Source organism: Homo sapiens, chromosome 17 (assembly GCF_000001405.40).
Source record: "Homo sapiens chromosome 17, GRCh38.p14 Primary Assembly".
NCBI classification, from domain to species: Eukaryota; Metazoa; Chordata; class Mammalia; order Primates; family Hominidae; genus Homo; species Homo sapiens.
The window spans coordinates 33,360,710-33,378,604 of record NC_000017.11 but is presented as its reverse complement, the minus strand read 5'-3'; the positions used below and the strand labels follow the sequence as shown (position 1 = coordinate 33,378,604).

Genomic DNA, 17,895 nt, shown 5'->3' with positions numbered 1-17,895 from the left:
TCAGTTTGACCACCTTACTTCTTGAGGCAATTCTACCCACACTGAGGAATCAGAGAGTGTCAAGGGGCAGAGCATGAACCACCCAGAATGGAGCCAGCAGGAAGGATGGGTGAGGCGGAGGGGAGGCCTGCAGGGACAGCCCACTTCCCTGGGCCTGCAGACAAACCCATCATTCATGGGAGGGCCTGCAGCTGCTAGCCCTCTGAACCAGCTGAGGAAGCCTCTGGGGTTTAGAGTCCAGATGTTCTCTGTCTAGGAATTCACTAAATATCAGAGGAACAGGGGGCTTCCCTGCCTTTCAAGCAAAGCTGGTGGCCACAATGTTTAGCTAGCAGAGAAGGCAGTGAAGGAGCATGTATAGAACATGTATATGTGTCATGCATATGATCACAACAATCTCTGATGAAGCTATCATTCAAAATTTAGAAAGTGAGAAGGAAACTGAGGCACTGGAAAAAGTGACATGCTCAAGATCACGCAGCTGTAAGTGGACTTGACTCCCAGATCTACTGGCTTCACAGCCTCTATGCCATGCATAGAGCAGAGAGTGCTATCCAGTGCCACCTTGTGCCTACCAGGGGGTATCTGCTGAGCAGTCGTGGTGAGAAGGGACCTGTTATTCAGGGCAACCCATTTGGCTGCTGAACTGGTATTGCTCAGTGGCCTTATGGAGCCCCACTCTGTCCTATTCTCATATTTTGATAAAATAGCATGCAGTGATCTCTGGATTCTTTCATATTCTTGCATTGAGGCCCAAAAAGGGGCAATGACTTGACCAAGGTGCCAGCATCTGAACTGGCTGAGTCATATGTGCTCCACAATCAGAAACAGGAGATGAAGGTCAGAGGAGCTAGGGGTTGAGAAGACATAAAAAGTCTTCACAGAGAAAAAATTGTTTGAGCTGAGCCTAGAAGAATGGTGTGATGTCATCCAGATTGCAGAATGCATGGAAAAGGACTAGGGACCAGGAGGAGAAAAGAAAATGGACAAGTTGCAGAAGATAAGAATTATATTGGGGAAATCACAAGTACTCCTCTTTGCCTGGAGGGTAAGGCAGAGAGAAGGGACAGTATAAGATGAATGCGATTGGGTCAAAGCCATTGTGAAATTGGACATAAAAGATTGGCAATGAGAAGCCAGTGAGAGCTAGGTTTAGAAGAGAGAAATTCTCAAGGAGCCATTACAGCCATTTTAAAAGTCTTTCACTTGTAAGAAGTATTCTCCAGCTGTATTTATCTAAATAAAGAACTTTCTAGCTGGGCACAGTGGCTCACGCCTGTAATTGCAGCACTTTGGGAGGCTGAGGCAGGTGGATCCCTTGAGGTCAGGAGTTTGAGACTAGTCTGGCAAACATGGTGAAACCCCATCTCTACTAAAAATACAAAAATTAGCTGGATGTGGTAGCAAGTGTCTGTAGTCCCAGCTACTCAGGAGTCTAAGGCAGGAGAATCACTTGAACCCAGGAGGAGGAGGTTGCAGTGAGCAGACATCAAGCCACTGCACTCCAGCCTGGGTTACAGAGCATGACTCCATCTCCGCTCCCCCCCTCCAAAAAAAACTTTCTATCCTAGCAGATCTGAATTTGAAACCCAGCTTTTCTTCTTAAAGATTATAGGGAATGAATGAATTACTTAGCCTCTTTGATCCTTAATTTCTTCACCTACAAAATGGGGATCCTCAAATCTCTCTCCGGGGTGATTGTGAGAATTGAAAAATAATTTGTATAGAATATGTAGAAGAGTGCCCAAGGCCATGGTTAGTGCCCAACAACCGCTACATGAGATGATGATGATGATGATAATGTAATGAGGAAGAAAATGAAGAAGTGGCAGCAATGGCAGAGGAGCAGGAGGAGAAGGATAATTGCTCAGATAAGTTGGTTAAAGAATTCTGCTTATAGAGGAAGGGTAGTGAAATGGTCAAGATCATGGATTCTGGAGCTGTGTGAACTTTCGCAGTAGTTTAGCTTCTCTTTTTGCCAATTTCCTTGCTTTTAATTCAGGGGTAGTAACAGTGCCTGCTTCTCAGAATTGCGATGGATTGAATGTGTTGATATGCATAAAACACCTAAAGAATGCCCAGCACAGAATTAGTTCTCAATAAGTTTAAGATAAGATTGATTATTCCATGCACTTTGAAAAGCAGCTTGAAATGGACAATTTACATGGCACATGTATACATATGTAACAAACCTGCATGTTGTGCACATGTACCCTAAAACTTAAAGTATAATAAAAAAAAAGAAATGGACAATTTGGGGATGACTTACACAATTTGATGGGGAAAAAATGTGATTCAAAGGAGCACCCCATTAGCTCATTTCTCACCCAGCTGTATTTTTCTTTCCTGACTCTTTATTGTATTTGTATTCTTTTTTGACTGTCTTTTTACTCACTGGCCACTCCTTCTCAATCATATTGATTCTCCTTATCTCTCCAGCCTCTAAATACTGGAGTGTCCCAAGGCACAGACATCTTTTTTTAATCCTTAGGGTATGTCTTCCAGTCTATTGGTTTTAAATACCAAACATATACTAACAATTCCCTAGTTTATATATTTAGTCCACACATCGCCCAAGCTCCACACTCATAAACTTAACTGCCTATTCAACGTCTCCATTCAGATGTCTAACAGACATATTAAACTCATTGTGTCGATAACTTGAGTTCTTATCTCCACCCCCAAAACCAACATGTCCTTCCTTCTTCCCCACCTTAGTTAGCTGCTACTCACTTACTTTCAGGCAACAGGTTTCCTGAGCACTTTCAGTTACTCAGGACAACACTTGGAATTCATCTTTGGCTCCTGTCCTTTTCGATACCTTGCATTGCTACCTCCATTAGCAAATAGCTCTACCCTCAGAAATATTTCCAGACTTTGACTACTTCTCACCACCTCCCCTGCATCCACCAGGGTTCAGGCCACTGTGACCTTCCCTTGGATGACTTTGGAGCCTCCAAACTGGTCTGTCTGCTTCTTCCCTTGCAGTCCCGGTAGTCAGTCCACTGTCAGCCCCTGTAGTCAGTCCACACAGCAGCCAGAACTATCCTTTTAAAACGCAAGCCATACCCTGGCACGTATCTGCTCACTGCCTTTTAATAGTGTGCCGTAAACTTCATAATCAAAATTAAAGTCTTTACAAAGGCCTGCAAGAATCTTCATAGCCTGTCCCTGCACCTCCCTGACCTCTTCTCCTGCCACTCTCCCCCTCGCTCTCTGCCCCCACCACACTGCCTCTCTACTCTTCTTGAACATGCTAGGCACGGCCTGCCTGAGAGCCCGTCATGTGCTGTTTCCTCTGCCGGGAGATTCTTCCTTCAGAGAGCCACATGGCTCACTTCCTTGTTTCTTTCAGGTCTCTGCTCAAATGTCACCTCATCAGTGGGGCCTTATCTGACAAACCTTGATAAGAGAGCAAACACCCCCACCACAGGGCTCTCTGCCTGCCTAACCTGCCTAATTTTCTATGTAACACTTATCATCCTCTGACATACTATGTATTTACTATGTAATGAATAAATAATTAATTAATAATTCTGGCTCAGGATTACCTAAGGAGCATTTTAAAAACTCAGATTTCTTTAAAAAATAGATTCTTGGGCTCAGTAGAGACCTAGTGAAGCAGAATCTCTGACGGTCCCAACCTCCCTGGGCTTCTGTTTCCTTGTCGGTAAAATAGAGGTTATTCTCCATAACTCTCATGGCTGTGGTTCAAAGTAAACGAGATCATCTCTCTACAAAGGTGCTTAGTGCTTTGTCAAGCATATAGAAGGTACTTAACCATTCAGACACTCCTCCCTCATCAGTGAAAAATAGGCTCAGGGTCCTGTGGGTGCCAAGTGGAAACATTGAGGCAAGAACCCTGTTCCCTGGACTCCTGGTCTGGGCTGCATAACCTCACGCTCACACTTTCTCTGTCTACTACTATGCTGAGAGAACTGTAATTACCTGTTGGGTTCTTCCTGCCACTGCACAGACAAAATCAATTCACTGAGACCACAGCATTGCAGTAAAGAAAGAGTTTAATTGACATAACGCCAACCATGTAGGACAGGGAGTTATTACTCAAATTAGTCTCCCCAAAAGCTCAGAGCTTAGGGTTTTTACGGATAATTTGGTGGGCAGAGGGGCTGGGAAATAGGTGCTGCTGGTTGGTTGTGGATGAAATCATAGGGGTGTGGAAAACCATCCTCGTGCACTGAGTCCACCTCTTGGGGGTGCCACGGGACCCATTGAGTCATGAGTCACCGGTCTAGATGAGGTCAGACAGTTGCCAAAATGCAAGTCTAAAAATCAAAAGGCCAATTGGGTCGGGTGCGGTGGCTCACACCTGTAATCCCAGCACTTTGAGAGGTGGAGGCAGGCGGGATCACCTGAGGTCAGGAGTTCAAGACCAGCCTGGCTAACATGGTGAAACCCTGTCTCTACTAAAAATACAAAAATTAGCTTGGTTGGGTGGTGCGCACCTGTAATCCCAACTACTCAAGAAACTGAGGCAGGTGAATCACTTGAGCCCAGGAGGTGGTGGTTGCAGCGAGCCAAGATCATGCTACTGTGCTGCAGCCTGGGCCGCAAGAGTGAAACTCCATCTCAAAATAAGTAAATAAATAAATAAAAAATAAAGAACAGCAGGGCGCAGTGGTTCATGCCTGTAATCCCAGCACTTTTGGAGGCCAAGATGGGCAGATCACCTGAGGTCAGGAGGTCTAGAGCAGTCTGGCCAACATGGCAAAACCCCATCTCTACTAAAAATACAAAAATTAGCCAGCATGGTGGTGGGCCTCTGTAATCCCAGCTACTCGGGAAGCTGAAGCAGGGAATATCGCTTGAACCCAGGAGGCGGAGATTGCAGTGAGCCAAGATCACGCCACTGTACTCCAGCCTGGGCAACAGAGCAAGACTCCATCTGAGAAAAGAGAAAAAAAAGACCAATCTTAGGTTTTATAATAGTGATGTTATCTACAGGAGCAATTGGGGAAGTCACAAATCTTGTGACCTCTAGCCACATGACTCCTGAGCAATAAGGGATTATAGAAACTGCATCTACGTCTAGCAGAGTTCAGGCCTCTCTCAGAATCCTAATCTTGTGGTCCCTCATTAGTTTTCACAAAGGCAGTTACAGCCCTCAAACAGGGAGGGGAATACTGTTAGGAAGCAGCTATTATCATCCTTGTTTAACTATAAGTTAAACTATAAACTAAATTCCTTTGAAAGTTAGCTTGGCCTTTGCCCAGGAATGGGCCTATGCCCAGGAATGACCAAGGACAGCTTAGAGGTCAGAAGCAAGATGGAATCAACTATGTCAGATTTCTCTTACTGTCATAATTTTGCAAAGGTGGTTTCAGAACACCCTGTCCCCACCTAGCATCTGAAATATTATTCCTCTGCATTTCTGACCAGGTCGATTACATGCTCTATGGAACCCATTTCAAATAAGTGCCATAGGATCCAGGGACATATTATCCTTCCTCCTGGGTTCTCTTCTTGGCATGGAACAGATTTACTCACAGTATTCCTTAGCTCTGCCTTGAAAGCTTCAAAGCCATTCCCTTTCTGCTTATCCTAAGTCCCCACCCTTGCCCAAAGCATCAGAACCCCAGGGGCATCACTGATGGAGGTGTTCCCACGCCCTAACCCAAATTAGATGTGAGGTCAGAGAAAAGTGCAGAGAGAGAAAAGAGAACTCTCCTGTAACAGGCAACAGATCCCCTCCTGCCTCCTGGGCCTGGCCAAGCCTGTCCTTCCACTGCTGAGACCACGATGAGGGGCATCTACCCTCAGCCAAGACGGACCTCCCACCCTGAGGTGCAGACAATGCGTGGAAGCCCCATCACAGCTGTTTCACCACTGGGAGCTGTTACCTCCCAGGGGGCTATGGGCTGCCCAGATCCCAATGGCCAGCGGTTCCAATGGGGTGGGAATGTGGCTGGGGACTCAGGAAGAGAGCATGAGAGGCCAGAGTGTGGGAGGTGGGAGAGTAACATTACAGAGCCCAGAGGGTCCATGTGGAGACCAAGGTGAGGTCCAAATGAGGTCCCAGCAGCCAAGTAGGGAGAAGATGCTGGGAAGGGCGGTAGTTCCAGAAGGTCACCTGCAGATGGTGGCCACCAGCCCCTCACCCATTCAGTTGGCTTCATGCCCCTAAACCCTTTCTTACCTGCTGCTTTGTCTCATTCCCCCGGGCCCCAGGGGGTAGGCAGAGCTTTGATCCTATGTCCTAGGTGAGGAAACACAGGCCACCCACAAAGGAGATCACTCAAGGACAATGTAGCACCTTCTGATCTTGCTTTTTCACTGCCAGCAGAGCCAGAAGCCCCACTGTACTTCTGTGCTAACACCAGCTACCTATCACTCCTCCTTAACATCTGTATGCCTTCTGATTGCCACTTCCCACACCCTGATCCCCCTGAGAGCCCAGCCCTGCTACAGTTCTTAAAAACATGGACACTCGCAGCAGGAAGTATTTGAGCTGGCTCAGCCCCTATGCCATTTCATCTAGTGCAGCTCCAGCTTCAGGAGAGGCAGAGAGGGTCTGGGGGAGTTCTTCTTAAGTGTTATTCCTATCTGAATTCCTCTGGGGCTAGAGCCTTCACACTCAGTATTGTGACCACCCTCACTGCCTCCCCAGCTCACCTCCACCTGGGATGACGTGGTGATCTTCTACATACCCCTGTCCTCACCGTCTGCTCCTATGCCCTGCACAAACAAATTCATACATGGCTTTAACTTTCTCTTTTCAATTTCCAAATCATTTTAAAGGCTCTGGAGCCAATCTTCTCAGAGCCCTAAAGAACAATCTCTAAGGATTAGAGTCCCAGTAGACCTCATTCACACAAAGAGGAAGCACACACTGCTTTGAAATTTGCTTTTCTCTTTTATTTTCACCCTCTCCCTGTTAAAAAAAAAAATCCCAAAGTATATTTATAGTTTGCGAGTGTTTTCAGACATGTCACATCGTTTGAATTCCTCTGCTGGCCCTGATGAGCACCAGTATGTCCATCCCACAGGTGAAGGGAAAGTGAATAAGACTACGTCACACAGATGAGTCAGTGGCAGAGTCAAGATGTGAAAATCAAGCCTCAAGGAGGAAAGGAAGGTTTTAGTAAGATTCCCATCAGGCCTCAAAGAGCTCAATTATTTTTTGTTGTAGTTTTTCAGTGGCTTCCTGGGCCATGTGTTGTGTGACCTCTCCCTGTGAGCCTCTTGCTTTCAGCAATGCTTTCTTTTGGCTCACACAAGCACATACATGTGTCAGAGGCATTTGAACCAGAGCGACTCCATCTTGAGTGAGGGCTAGGAAAAATGAGGCTGGGACTTGCTGGGCTACATTCCCAGCAAGTTAGCTATTCCTAGCCTCTAGATGTTTACAGTTAAGGGGACAGATTCATAACATTTACTAAACAGACCCAGACTCAGGAATATCCTGATATCCCACTATCTTGAGAACAGAAGCATTCTTAATTTTGCTTTAAAGACAATAATATCAATTCTTGCAAAATATAGTAATAAAGAAAACTAATCTTTTATCACAAACCCTTGTGATATAGCAAAGCACATCTCCCCATGACTTTTTTGTTATCCTGTATATAAAGAAGCATTATACCTAGAGTGGGCGTGTTCCTCCTCTTACTTTCCTGAACACCCTACGCTGTCTATGGAGTAGCTATTCTTTCACCACTTTATTTTCTTAATAAACTTGCTTTCGCTTTGCACTGCGGACTTGCCTGGAATTCTTTCTTGTGTGAGATCCAAGAACTTGGGGTCTGGATCGGGACCCCTTTCCGGTAACACGTGTACATGCTCAGAGCCAGGAACTTGCCCAAGTGGCAGGCTCATAAATGGCATGACTGGGAGTCTTTTCCAAATCCTGCTTTCCTACTGTACCCTGCTGTGCTAGAGAGAATCCCAGTGGGAATCAACTAGTTTCTGGAGATGATTTCCCAATGCTAATCAAAGAATTTGCATGGTACATTCTGAGCTTTCCTCCAGCTGGGAGGTGTGGAATTCCTCACCCCTCCCTCCACCCTGCTTCCAGAGACGGCCAGGGTCTTTGAGTAACAGACCTTGCTTTGGTTTTGACTGCTAAAGAACCAGACCCCTCCCCTCCAGCCTTTGCTTGCAGGAGAGCTGTCTTTAATGAAGGCCTTGCACTTGCATTTACATTTCCCCTTATGTTGATTCTCCATAGGCAGAATACACATGTTCTAGGCTAATTTGTTGGAAAGCAGAGCATGGTCTGCATGCCCAGCTGCTCATTTTCCCAGTACTGCGAGGTTGCCCATTTGTTGGGGTTGGGGGTGGTGTTCTTTGATCAGAAAAGTCATTTAGGGAGCATTGTGAGGAGAACATGCTGAAATTCTCCTGCTCATTCCAATTCAGGTAGCTTGTCCAGGCTAGATTTGCCTGCATTGCGGGCTCAGATTTTTGCTCCCTGTAGGTTGCAGAAACTGAGCCTCCCATCAGCCTGTCCCTAAGGTGGCTGTCCTGGGGAATGCTGCCTGGTCTCCCTTATGCCATCAGCAGGCACTGGAAATAGTCATCTTCTCAGCCACATCATTGGTTGCATCATCTCTGGCCCTGCATGCCCCGAGGACCTCAGTCTTAGGAATCCAGACCTCTTTGGGAGACAATGCTGCAGAAATCTGATTAATTTAGTTGGAGTATGGCTTATGGGGTTAAAAGTGAGAGAATTTGGGGGCAAGCAGGTACCCTTCCATGAGACCCAAATACCTCATTGTGTTCCTTATACTAAGAATATGCTCTCGAAATGGATCACAGAAGAGGCATAACTCAATAACAACAACAGCACTAATAGTAATCATGCTCTAATGGAAAGAATATTGGCTTCAGCACCGGAAAAATCTGAGTTGGAATGCCAGCTCTGCCTCTTACTAGCCATGTGCTCTTGGGGAGTTATATAGTCCCACTGCCCCTTTGTTTCCTCCTCTGTAACATGGGGTAATCATTCCTACCTTGCAGGATTGTTACAAAGAATAAGTGACATGACATCAGTAGAGTGCCCAGTACCCAGCATGGCATGTGCTATGCTTTCAATTAAAGTGTCTTCCTGTGCATCATGCTATGTTATCCTCATGGCAGTCCTGGAAGGAGGCAAGGCAGGCTGGAATTATTCCCATTTACAAAAAGGGAAAGGAAGCCTCAAAAAAGTAAAGTGACTTGTCAGCAGTCACACAACAAGTAAGAGAAGAGCAAGGACTTGACATTGTCTAATTGCTACCTCTGGGCTTGTTCCAATTAGGTGACTCAGGCTCACAAATCACCTTCTCAAGGCAGCCAGCTCATTCTCAAAGTGGATTCAGGTACTAGAGAAATACTCTGCTTTTAACTCTTACTGGCTCTCCATGTGTCAGAGTCTGCTATTCTTAGGGAAGTGGGGTCTATGGCAGGTTCTTGGTGACCCTCCTGGAAATCCTATCAGCAATTTGAGATCTTTGGTTGGAACACTCACTGCCCTTTGATATTTTAGTTTTCTGGGATCTTTTTGCATTTGCTCCCATTGTTTTATTCACCACCAAGGATAATCTTCATAGGGAAGCAGAGGGCCTTTATCATGTTCACTCCATCTTGCTTTCTCCATCTTCAAGAACAGGAAGGTGGCAGACTTGTGTCTGGAGGGTTTATATCTGAGTAAATGCCACCTGAGAAGTGAGGTTCCCAACAAGGACATTGCCTTCCCCAGCCATCCAGCACCTGGTACCCATGTCCCTCTCCAGGGCCTCCCTGTGGAAAGTTTGTGGCATGGGAGAGGATCCTGAGCTAAGACGGGTGAAAGGAGGGCAGAGAAAGAAAGCCAGCAGAAGCAGCAGAACCTCCATCATTGGTGAGGAGAGAGGAAAGATGGTGGCCAAAGAAGCAAAGTCCAAATAAAGGGGCAAGATGAAGCCTTAAATGGGGGAGAAATCAAGAGGGGAAAAGTGCCAGGGGTCAGTGGTAACATGGAAAGTAGAAAGTGGTGGAGGTTAAGTCACGCAACTCAGTGCTAACGTTGGGAAAATGCTCTCCTTGTTTGTTTTGATTATCTAATGCTGCATAAGAAATTTCCCCAAAATCCAGTGGTGTAAGACAACCATCTATTAAACTCATGCCCTCTTTGGGTCAGGAATTCAAATAAGACTCCACAGGGAAGTCTGTTCTCTGATCCCTGAAGTCTGGGCCCTCAGCTAGAAACCTCCAGGGCTTGGGGCTAGAATTATCTGAAGTTTCACCCATTGGTGGTTAAGGCTGGGAAAACTCCAACAACAAACTCCATGGACATCTCTTTCTGTCTCCATGTGGCCTCTCTATCCCACCTCTCCAACATGGCAGCTTTAGGGTAGCCAGACTTCTTACATGTCAGCTCCCAAGGTGCATGCTGACACCAGGTGGAAACCATTTCACTTTTTATGACCTAGACTCAGAAGTCATACAGTACCCTTCCACTGTATCCCATTGATCAAAGCTGTTACAATGGTCCACTGGGTTCAAGAAGAGAGAGCATAGATTTAACTTCTTAATGGAGAGGTGTCATGCCACACTGTAAGAACTTGTGGAATGGGATACATATCCATGAGTCCATTTTGGAAAATATAGTCTACCATCTTGTCCAACTTCTCTCTGTGGTACTGTCTCATGCTACAGTGGTCAGTTTGTGTGGAAGTATAAAGGTATAAATACTGGGCCTCTTCTTGAAAGAAAGTAGACTTCAGAAGAGAATACCTAAGCTCGAACAAAGAAGGTGCTTGGCATATTCCTTTAGAGAAAAATAAAGCAAGTTCCAGGGGCCTCGTTATAATGGACAAGAGCTCTGCACTCTTCTATCTCAGCTAGGTTATTGTTTTGTTTTGTGGTCCTTGTTAACAATGGTGGCAGTCTTATCTTTATCAATTGCCCTGAGTTTTTACTAAAGATCTTTCTGAAAAGCAAGCCTGTTAATGATGCTGAGAAGAACCAAAGGAAGGCTCTGATTTTGCTCACAACAGAATTAGAAACAAAAAAAGAGTGAGTACCCCTGACAGCAGGCATGAAGGGAGGCAGGTATCAGAGTAAGCCCCCATGGGGAGGCAGACTCTGGGCAGCAAAGGTGCAGTTGCCCCTCCCTTGGCAACTTTCTCTGGGGAGCTTGTCTTAGCTGTGGAGCATTTTGTATCTTTCTTTAGTGAGATTCTTTTACAGAGAGAAGCAGTGGAAAGATCAAATTAGGAGTACTTCAAGGGAGAGGTGAAACGCCAGAGGGTTAGTGCCACCAGCACTTGAGCAATTGTCTTCCCTACACCAGAGTTCCTTAAGGGAGTTCGTGGAGTTTAGTACTTTGTATGTTACACAACTTCACTCTCTGTGCCTCTTCTAGGCCTGCCCTATACACTCACCTCTGAGCCTCTGGCTCCCTCCCAGCTCAATCCATCTCCTGAAGAATCTACTTCCTAATAGAATTCCCTGAAGGAAATGCCACTGGAAGCACCAGCAGGAAGGAACAGAGTCACAAAGAAACAGCAAAAGGCCACTCTTCACGCTTCATTACCATACAAAGATGCTAATTCAGCAGGGCCTGGTACACACCCTTTGTCTGGCTGAATTCTAGCACCTAGCACGCAGAACATGCATAATTTTTGCAAAGTTTTATAAGCAAAGGGAATGCTTAGTCCACGAAACACTGAAAGTGAAACTATTTGCCACCTAACAAAGTGTATGCTCATTGCAAACATTTCTTCTTAGTATTTATTAACAGGGTGTACAAAGTTCTCAAAGACTTAAAGCCCAATTTCAGTTTTGTCCAATACTGATAGAAAACTATAACTTAGATGGTTATAAGATGGACTTAGATGGTTATAGTTCCTTTTTTAAAAAAATTATAATACAGTTATTCACTCAAAAAATCATTGACTATTTCACTCTGCTATGCCCTGTAGATACAGCAATAAGAATCTCTGTCCTCAAGGAACTCATGTTCTTAGTGGGAAAGCAATTAAATAAACAAATAGTTTAGTGAGGGTTATAAGAGAGAACGCTGCAAGCCATGGGAGGATAAGAAAGGATCCTTGATCTAGATTTGAGGGAGAAGATGTCAAAGAAGGCTCCCTGGAGAAGGTGACAGCTGAGCTGAGTTTTGAGTCATGAGTAGGAGCTGTCCAGGAGAATATGACGAGAGAAGAGGAAGGCAGTGCATGTGCAGGTACCAAGGCAAGGCATGGGAAAGTAGAGTGCCTTCAAAGAGCTGAGAGCATCTAGAGAGAGTGGGAGGAAGAGAGTATAAGAGGAAGGAGATGAGACCGGAGAGAAAGACAGTGAAGAACTTTGAATGCTGTCCCCAAGAGTTTGGTCTTTCTCCAGAATTATACAACCATAAAACTAGCTTAAAACTTCAGATTTTATTCAGATAAAGTCAGTGAATTGACAGTTACTAAGATCATCTCTAAGAATCAATGATGATGAATTTGACCTTGTGCCAGTCAAGAGCAGGGCTCCACTGCTGGCCTTTTGTCCCCACTCATAGCATCATGGGAGGGTCATCAGCCAGAAGCAAACAGCCTCTGTTCTTAGAGCAGCCTTGCCAACCTAGTCACTGATGCTGACCCCAGGCACTGATCCTGACCCCAGGCACCATCTGGCTATTCCAACCTGCCTTAGCTTACCAACCTGAACTGTATCTGTGGTATCTGTCTACTCCTTCCTGCTCAACTGGACAGTTATTTGGGGCCCCTCTAGGCAAGTCCTACCTTGCCAATGTCCATGTTCCCCAAATTCAGCTATAATTAAACTTTAAATAAATAGACTTTTTTCTTCCTATTCTGACCTCAGCTACTACACTTGCTATCTGTTGACTGCTGATTGGATATCTTGGAATTATGGGAAATGAAATAAAAAGGGGATAAAGTAAGGTTTTTTTTTTAAGTCATCAGGCCCAACCTGTTGTTATATAGCTAATGGCCAGGAAGAAGAAGTGACATCCCCAGGAATAAAGACTTGTTTAAGGGTCTTCTGACACTCAAGCCAAGGAACATTTTATGGATGACCTCTTGTGGTAAAAGGAATTGATAGGCTGACAAACACAGTGTGTAACAGGTACTCACGACTTAAACTTGGAATTAATTTTAGACAACTCCCTATAACTTGATAATGAACGAATCTTCTAAAGTGAGATTTATCCAGCCATTCAGCAAGTATAACCTAAGTACCTCCTACATGTCAGACTCTACAGGAAACACTAGGGAATCAAAAAAAAAACAAGACCCAGTTACTACCCTAGGAGCTTGCATTCTCATGAAAGAGGCAGATAACAAATACAATACTTATGCAGCATGAGAAGAGCTTTAACAGGGATAAGTACCAGGTGCCGAGGGAGCACAGAGGAACACTTCAGAGTGTCAGGGAAATAGCCAAGCTGGATCTTGAAGAGCGAATTGGAGTTAGGACAAGTGGAGCAAAAAGGGGGTGAGGTGGACAAAGGCAGAGGGTTCTGTATGTATGAAGTTGGAGACATCCAAGCATGTTTAGGAAACATTGTGGTCACACCGAAGCAGAGGGGTAATGATAAAGGACTCTGGCATAATGCTGTGTTCAGGAAAGGCCTCATATCCGTGCTAAAGAGCTTGATATTGACCCTGAAGGCCCATGACTGGGTTTTAAGCAAGAAAAGGAGGATGGCCTGGCCAGATGTGGGTTTCAGGATGATCAACCTAGATACTTGACTGCGGAGTTGGACTGGAAGCAGGGAAACTTATTAGGAGGGCTGTGCAGTACTCAGACACAGTAACGAAGGGGAATTCATGGCTAAGCTATTGGTTAGCTCCTGGAAACTGACGTGACTTCTGTAAAGACATTATATTAGTCCATTCTCACGTTGCTATAAAGAACTACCTGAGACTGGGTAATTTATAAAGAAAAGAGGTTTAATCAGCTCATGGTTCCACAGGCTGTACTGGAAGCATGGCTGGGGAGGCCTCAGGAAACTCACGATCATGGTGGAAGGCAGAGAGGAAGCAAGCACATCTTCACAAGGCCAGAAGGAGAGAGAGAAGGGGGAAGTGCTGCACACTTTTAAACAACCAGATCTCATGAGAACTCACTCACTATCACGAGAACAGCAAGGGGGAATCCACCCCCAGGATCCAATCACCTCTCACCAGGTCCCTTCCCTAACACTGGGGATTATAATTCAACATGAGATTTGGTTGGGGATGCAGAGCTAAACCATGTCAGACACCAAGAAAAATTAGTGGAGTCAGAAGTTGGTTTGTAAGTCCCATTTTGACCCATTTTTTGAGTCTTCAAAAAGGTTATGTCATTTCTATTAACAGTGCAGAGAATCATCAACCACAAATTCCAATTCTTATTGATCAGAATGAGAAACTGTGGCCCAGGGAAGGGATGTGTCTTGGCCAAAGTCAGTTGGTTATGGTAACTTGCCTCTAAGTAGCCTTTCTTCCTAGCCCCAGAGAAGCAAGAAGGTGCTGCAGAAAGAGCCCTAGACTATGAGTTCCACTTGTGACCCTTCTCCTTATTCACAGGGTGTCTTTGAACACGTCACTGTACCTCCCTGAGCCTCAGTTTCCCCACACATCAAACAAGAGCATTGGGCCAGAAAGATCTCTGTGATCACTTCCAGCTCTGAGACATGATGTGTCCATTATGCAGTGAGGAAAGAAGACTAGCAACCAAAGCAGCTTTCCAGACTGTCTCCGGGAGGCTGGCTGCAGGTGGTACCCAAAGCCCAGGTGGCTGCCCCAGGAAAGGGTGAGAGGAGGGAGGGAGTGCCATTAATATTCCCCCAATGTGCCCGGAAGCTTGGAGGGTCCAGATGGAAAGCAAACAAGCAAACCTTCTGACGTGTGTGGAGCCATAGATCACCTTAGAGAGTAGCCACCACTGCTCCCCTGTTGCCGTGGCAACTTTTCTCTGGATTCTCCTCATTTCCCAACACTCATCCCCCAGAGCTGGGCCCAACTGACCTGTGAATGGGGACCAGACAGAGCAGGGTGGGTGGTAAATGGACATGCGCACTGGTGTTCAGTGGCAGAGGCCATGCAGCTCGGAACGCAGGGCTAGGTTTCTGACCCAGGTGTGTCCAGCTGTTGTTGTCCTTCCTGTGCAAACACTGCCTCATGAACAAAGCTTGGAAAGAGGTGGGAGCAGAGAGGAGGATTTTCTACATTATGAGTCACCTCAGTTTTATAAAATCTCAGTTTTTCTCTAACATTCATTTGCAGCAACCAACGGAAAAGTCACTGCCTCTTATTCCACCTTGAACTTGCTTTTGCAGGTCACTTAACCTTTCTAAGCCATGCTTTTCTAAAGTGTAAAATGGAGCTAATAATTTAATTCTGAGAGGCTGGGTGCAGGCTGTCTTCTGCTCTTCCCCCTGCCCCTGGTTCTGTGGGTGAGTCAATTGAGACATTTGAAGAGTTTCTGCTTGGAAAATGGCAGTCTTTTGAAATGTAAAAGTTTACTAGTGACCTCTTTTCTTCCCCCCTCATTATTGGTACACTTAAGAGTTGACTTTCTGGGCATTTCTTCCTTTATAGAAAAAAGTGCTGTTGGGGCCCATATATTAGGCAACTGCCAATTTTAAATCAAGAGGAAATAGAAGCAAAGATTCTCTGAAATTATTATCAAAGTCATTAAGAGGATTTTTCTTATCAGACTTCAATTTACACACATATAGTTTTAGGACAACATTTATTTGTGTAAGATGGGCAATTCCAAAGCTGATATGTCACCCCCTTGGGATAGAATCAAACCATTTTCTCCATGTCTGCCTCCCTCCATTCATTTGCTTATTCAGTAGATGCTCAAACAATGCCTGCTCTGGTGATTGTAATACATATACATTTGAAGAGCGTCTCTTTCATGTCAGGCACTGTTCTAGATCTTAGGGATTTTGTGAAAACACAAGGTCCCTGCCCTGGAGAGGCACAAGGGTCAGTGGAGACAATGCAGGAGTAAGGGCTCTCCTATCCATTATCTTTTCACAGTTCCAAGAATCCTGTGAGAAAGATGTTGTCACCACCGTTTCAAGAGGGAGGCACTGACACTCCCCAGTTAAATGCCCTCTTACCTGCAAGATCTCTGCTTTGATCCAGTTTAAACTCCTGGCCTCTGCCCCACACTGTGTTCCCCAACATCATCCAGAGCTTACTCTGCAGACCTGACCTTCCTGGTTTCAGACTGGCAGTACCCAGGCACTCCTCTAGCTCTTTACTTGTCTTCCTCTCTGCACTGACTGTATTACAGTGTCACCAGCTATTTGCCCATCAAGAGCTGCACCACCCTCCACCCCTTCTTAGCCACACGTCTCTGGCATTTACAGGTAGGCTTCAAGGCATTCAAGAACCCTATAATTTCAAGCAAAAACCTTGGTCAAATGGGGACAAGTACATTTTAAGGGAGAGAGGCTAAATTGTTCATCAGATTCTCCAAGAGGTCTAGAGCCCAAGTAAGGTTTCCCCTAGTTGTTCCTGTTTCCTCTTGCTTCCCACACAGAGCATGGCACCCAGCCAATCTATGTAGGAGGAAAGGATGGAAGAAAAGTTGAGTGTCCACCACTCCCAACTAGTTCTACCCGAGGTATAACACACAGCAGAAACTAGTGCCAACCTCTAAATTTTTCTCTTAATTAAATTCGTCTGGAAGAGAAAAAAGAGAAATAAAGAAGTCATTGGAGAGACCATAAAACCAAGCGAAGGTCAAGGAGGAGAGAAGAATCAAGTAGATATAGACCCACTGGAGATGCCAGATACACAGAGGAAGGCTGAAGTGGCAGTAGTTACAAGGAAAAGGATATTGTTACATTAGCAAGGGCAAGAACTGTTCCATATGTCTTACTTTGTGAATCACAAAGTGCAGAGTCACTGGGGTGATGGAAAGGAAACTGGAGTCCTGGCATCTAGACTAAATTCTGCTACCCATCATCAGTATGACCTTCGGTAAGACTCTCTAAACCTCAGTCTTTTTACTATAAAATGGGGATATCATCCTGGCCCTGCTTTCTTGACTGTTATCATAAAGCTTAGATAGGATGCTGGGTATTATTACAACAGGTAGGGCAGTTACCACCAACACAGATCATACTGACAGATACCAACATTTAAAAACCAGACTTCCAGAAGTTGGTTCTTGTTAATATTTCCTACTTCTGTGTACCAATGGAGCTAACCAGAGGTTGCAGGTGCATAAGGCTATTTGGTTATTACTCTCCTAGCCACAGCTCCACCTCTCACCATCAGGTCCACATTGCAGAAGCCACTTCTCGTCACTCTGCCTCAGTTGGTTCTCAATGCTCTCCAAGACATTTGGGCATCCTTTATACCATTTCTCTTTCTCTCCACCATCCCACATGAATTCCCAAGTGGGCTTCCCCTTTGTTCCCTGAGCCCAGTTCCCATAATGTCATGGTTCATCTTAATGGGAACACAGCACATCATTATTCCTCCTTAGACATTTCATTTATCCTCCATTCAAGGTTGGGTCCTCCTTATCTACATGCTCCTCCCAGCCTTTTCCAGATTTTTGCAATAGCGAGTGAGCCCAAAGGACTGAAGACCAACAAGGGTTCCAGGTCTCCTTGTACAGGCAGAAACTCAGATTAGAGATCTGAAAGCACTCCAAGCTCTGTAAAGTGGTCTGCAAACCCAGGGCAGGCTCACTGTTCTTCTGATGGGTTTTGGAACAATGCTGAGATTAAGGGAGGTTCTGCAGTGGGAGGTCCCTGCTGTAGCTGAGCTGGTTAAAAGCAAGGGAATTCCTCTTTCCTCCCATCCCTAGGAGACAGGTTCTAGTTAGGGCTCCATGTGGCCACAAGTGAAAAATATATTAATACTCTAGAGAAACAAGTAGCCATAGATCTTCTATATGGGAGGCAGTTTCTGTTTTTATTTCAACCACATGAAATGGGGCCCAACC

At 45.3% G+C, this 17,895-nt stretch overlaps 1 protein-coding gene across 1 annotated transcript in view, besides 2 other annotated features; it reads left to right on the top strand.

The window, feature by feature from the left end:
- ASIC2 (acid sensing ion channel subunit 2) overlaps positions 1 to 17,895 on the top strand; it is a 1,143,682-nt gene that overhangs the window by 778,164 nt on the left and 347,623 nt on the right. The window lies entirely within an intron of this gene.
- Positions 15,237 to 15,736: an enhancer, noted in NCBI's record as "NANOG-H3K4me1 hESC enhancer chr17:31689887-31690386 (GRCh37/hg19 assembly coordinates)". NCBI's record gives its function as "activates a minimal SCP1, AML or CMV promoter by ChIP-STARR-seq in naive H9 embryonic stem cells {active_cell/tissue: H9 hESC(naive)}" and the evidence as "EXISTENCE:reporter gene assay evidence [ECO:0000049][PMID:30033119]".
- Positions 15,737 to 16,238: an enhancer, noted in NCBI's record as "NANOG-H3K4me1 hESC enhancer chr17:31689385-31689886 (GRCh37/hg19 assembly coordinates)". NCBI's record gives its function as "activates a minimal SCP1, AML or CMV promoter by ChIP-STARR-seq in naive H9 embryonic stem cells {active_cell/tissue: H9 hESC(naive)}" and the evidence as "EXISTENCE:reporter gene assay evidence [ECO:0000049][PMID:30033119]".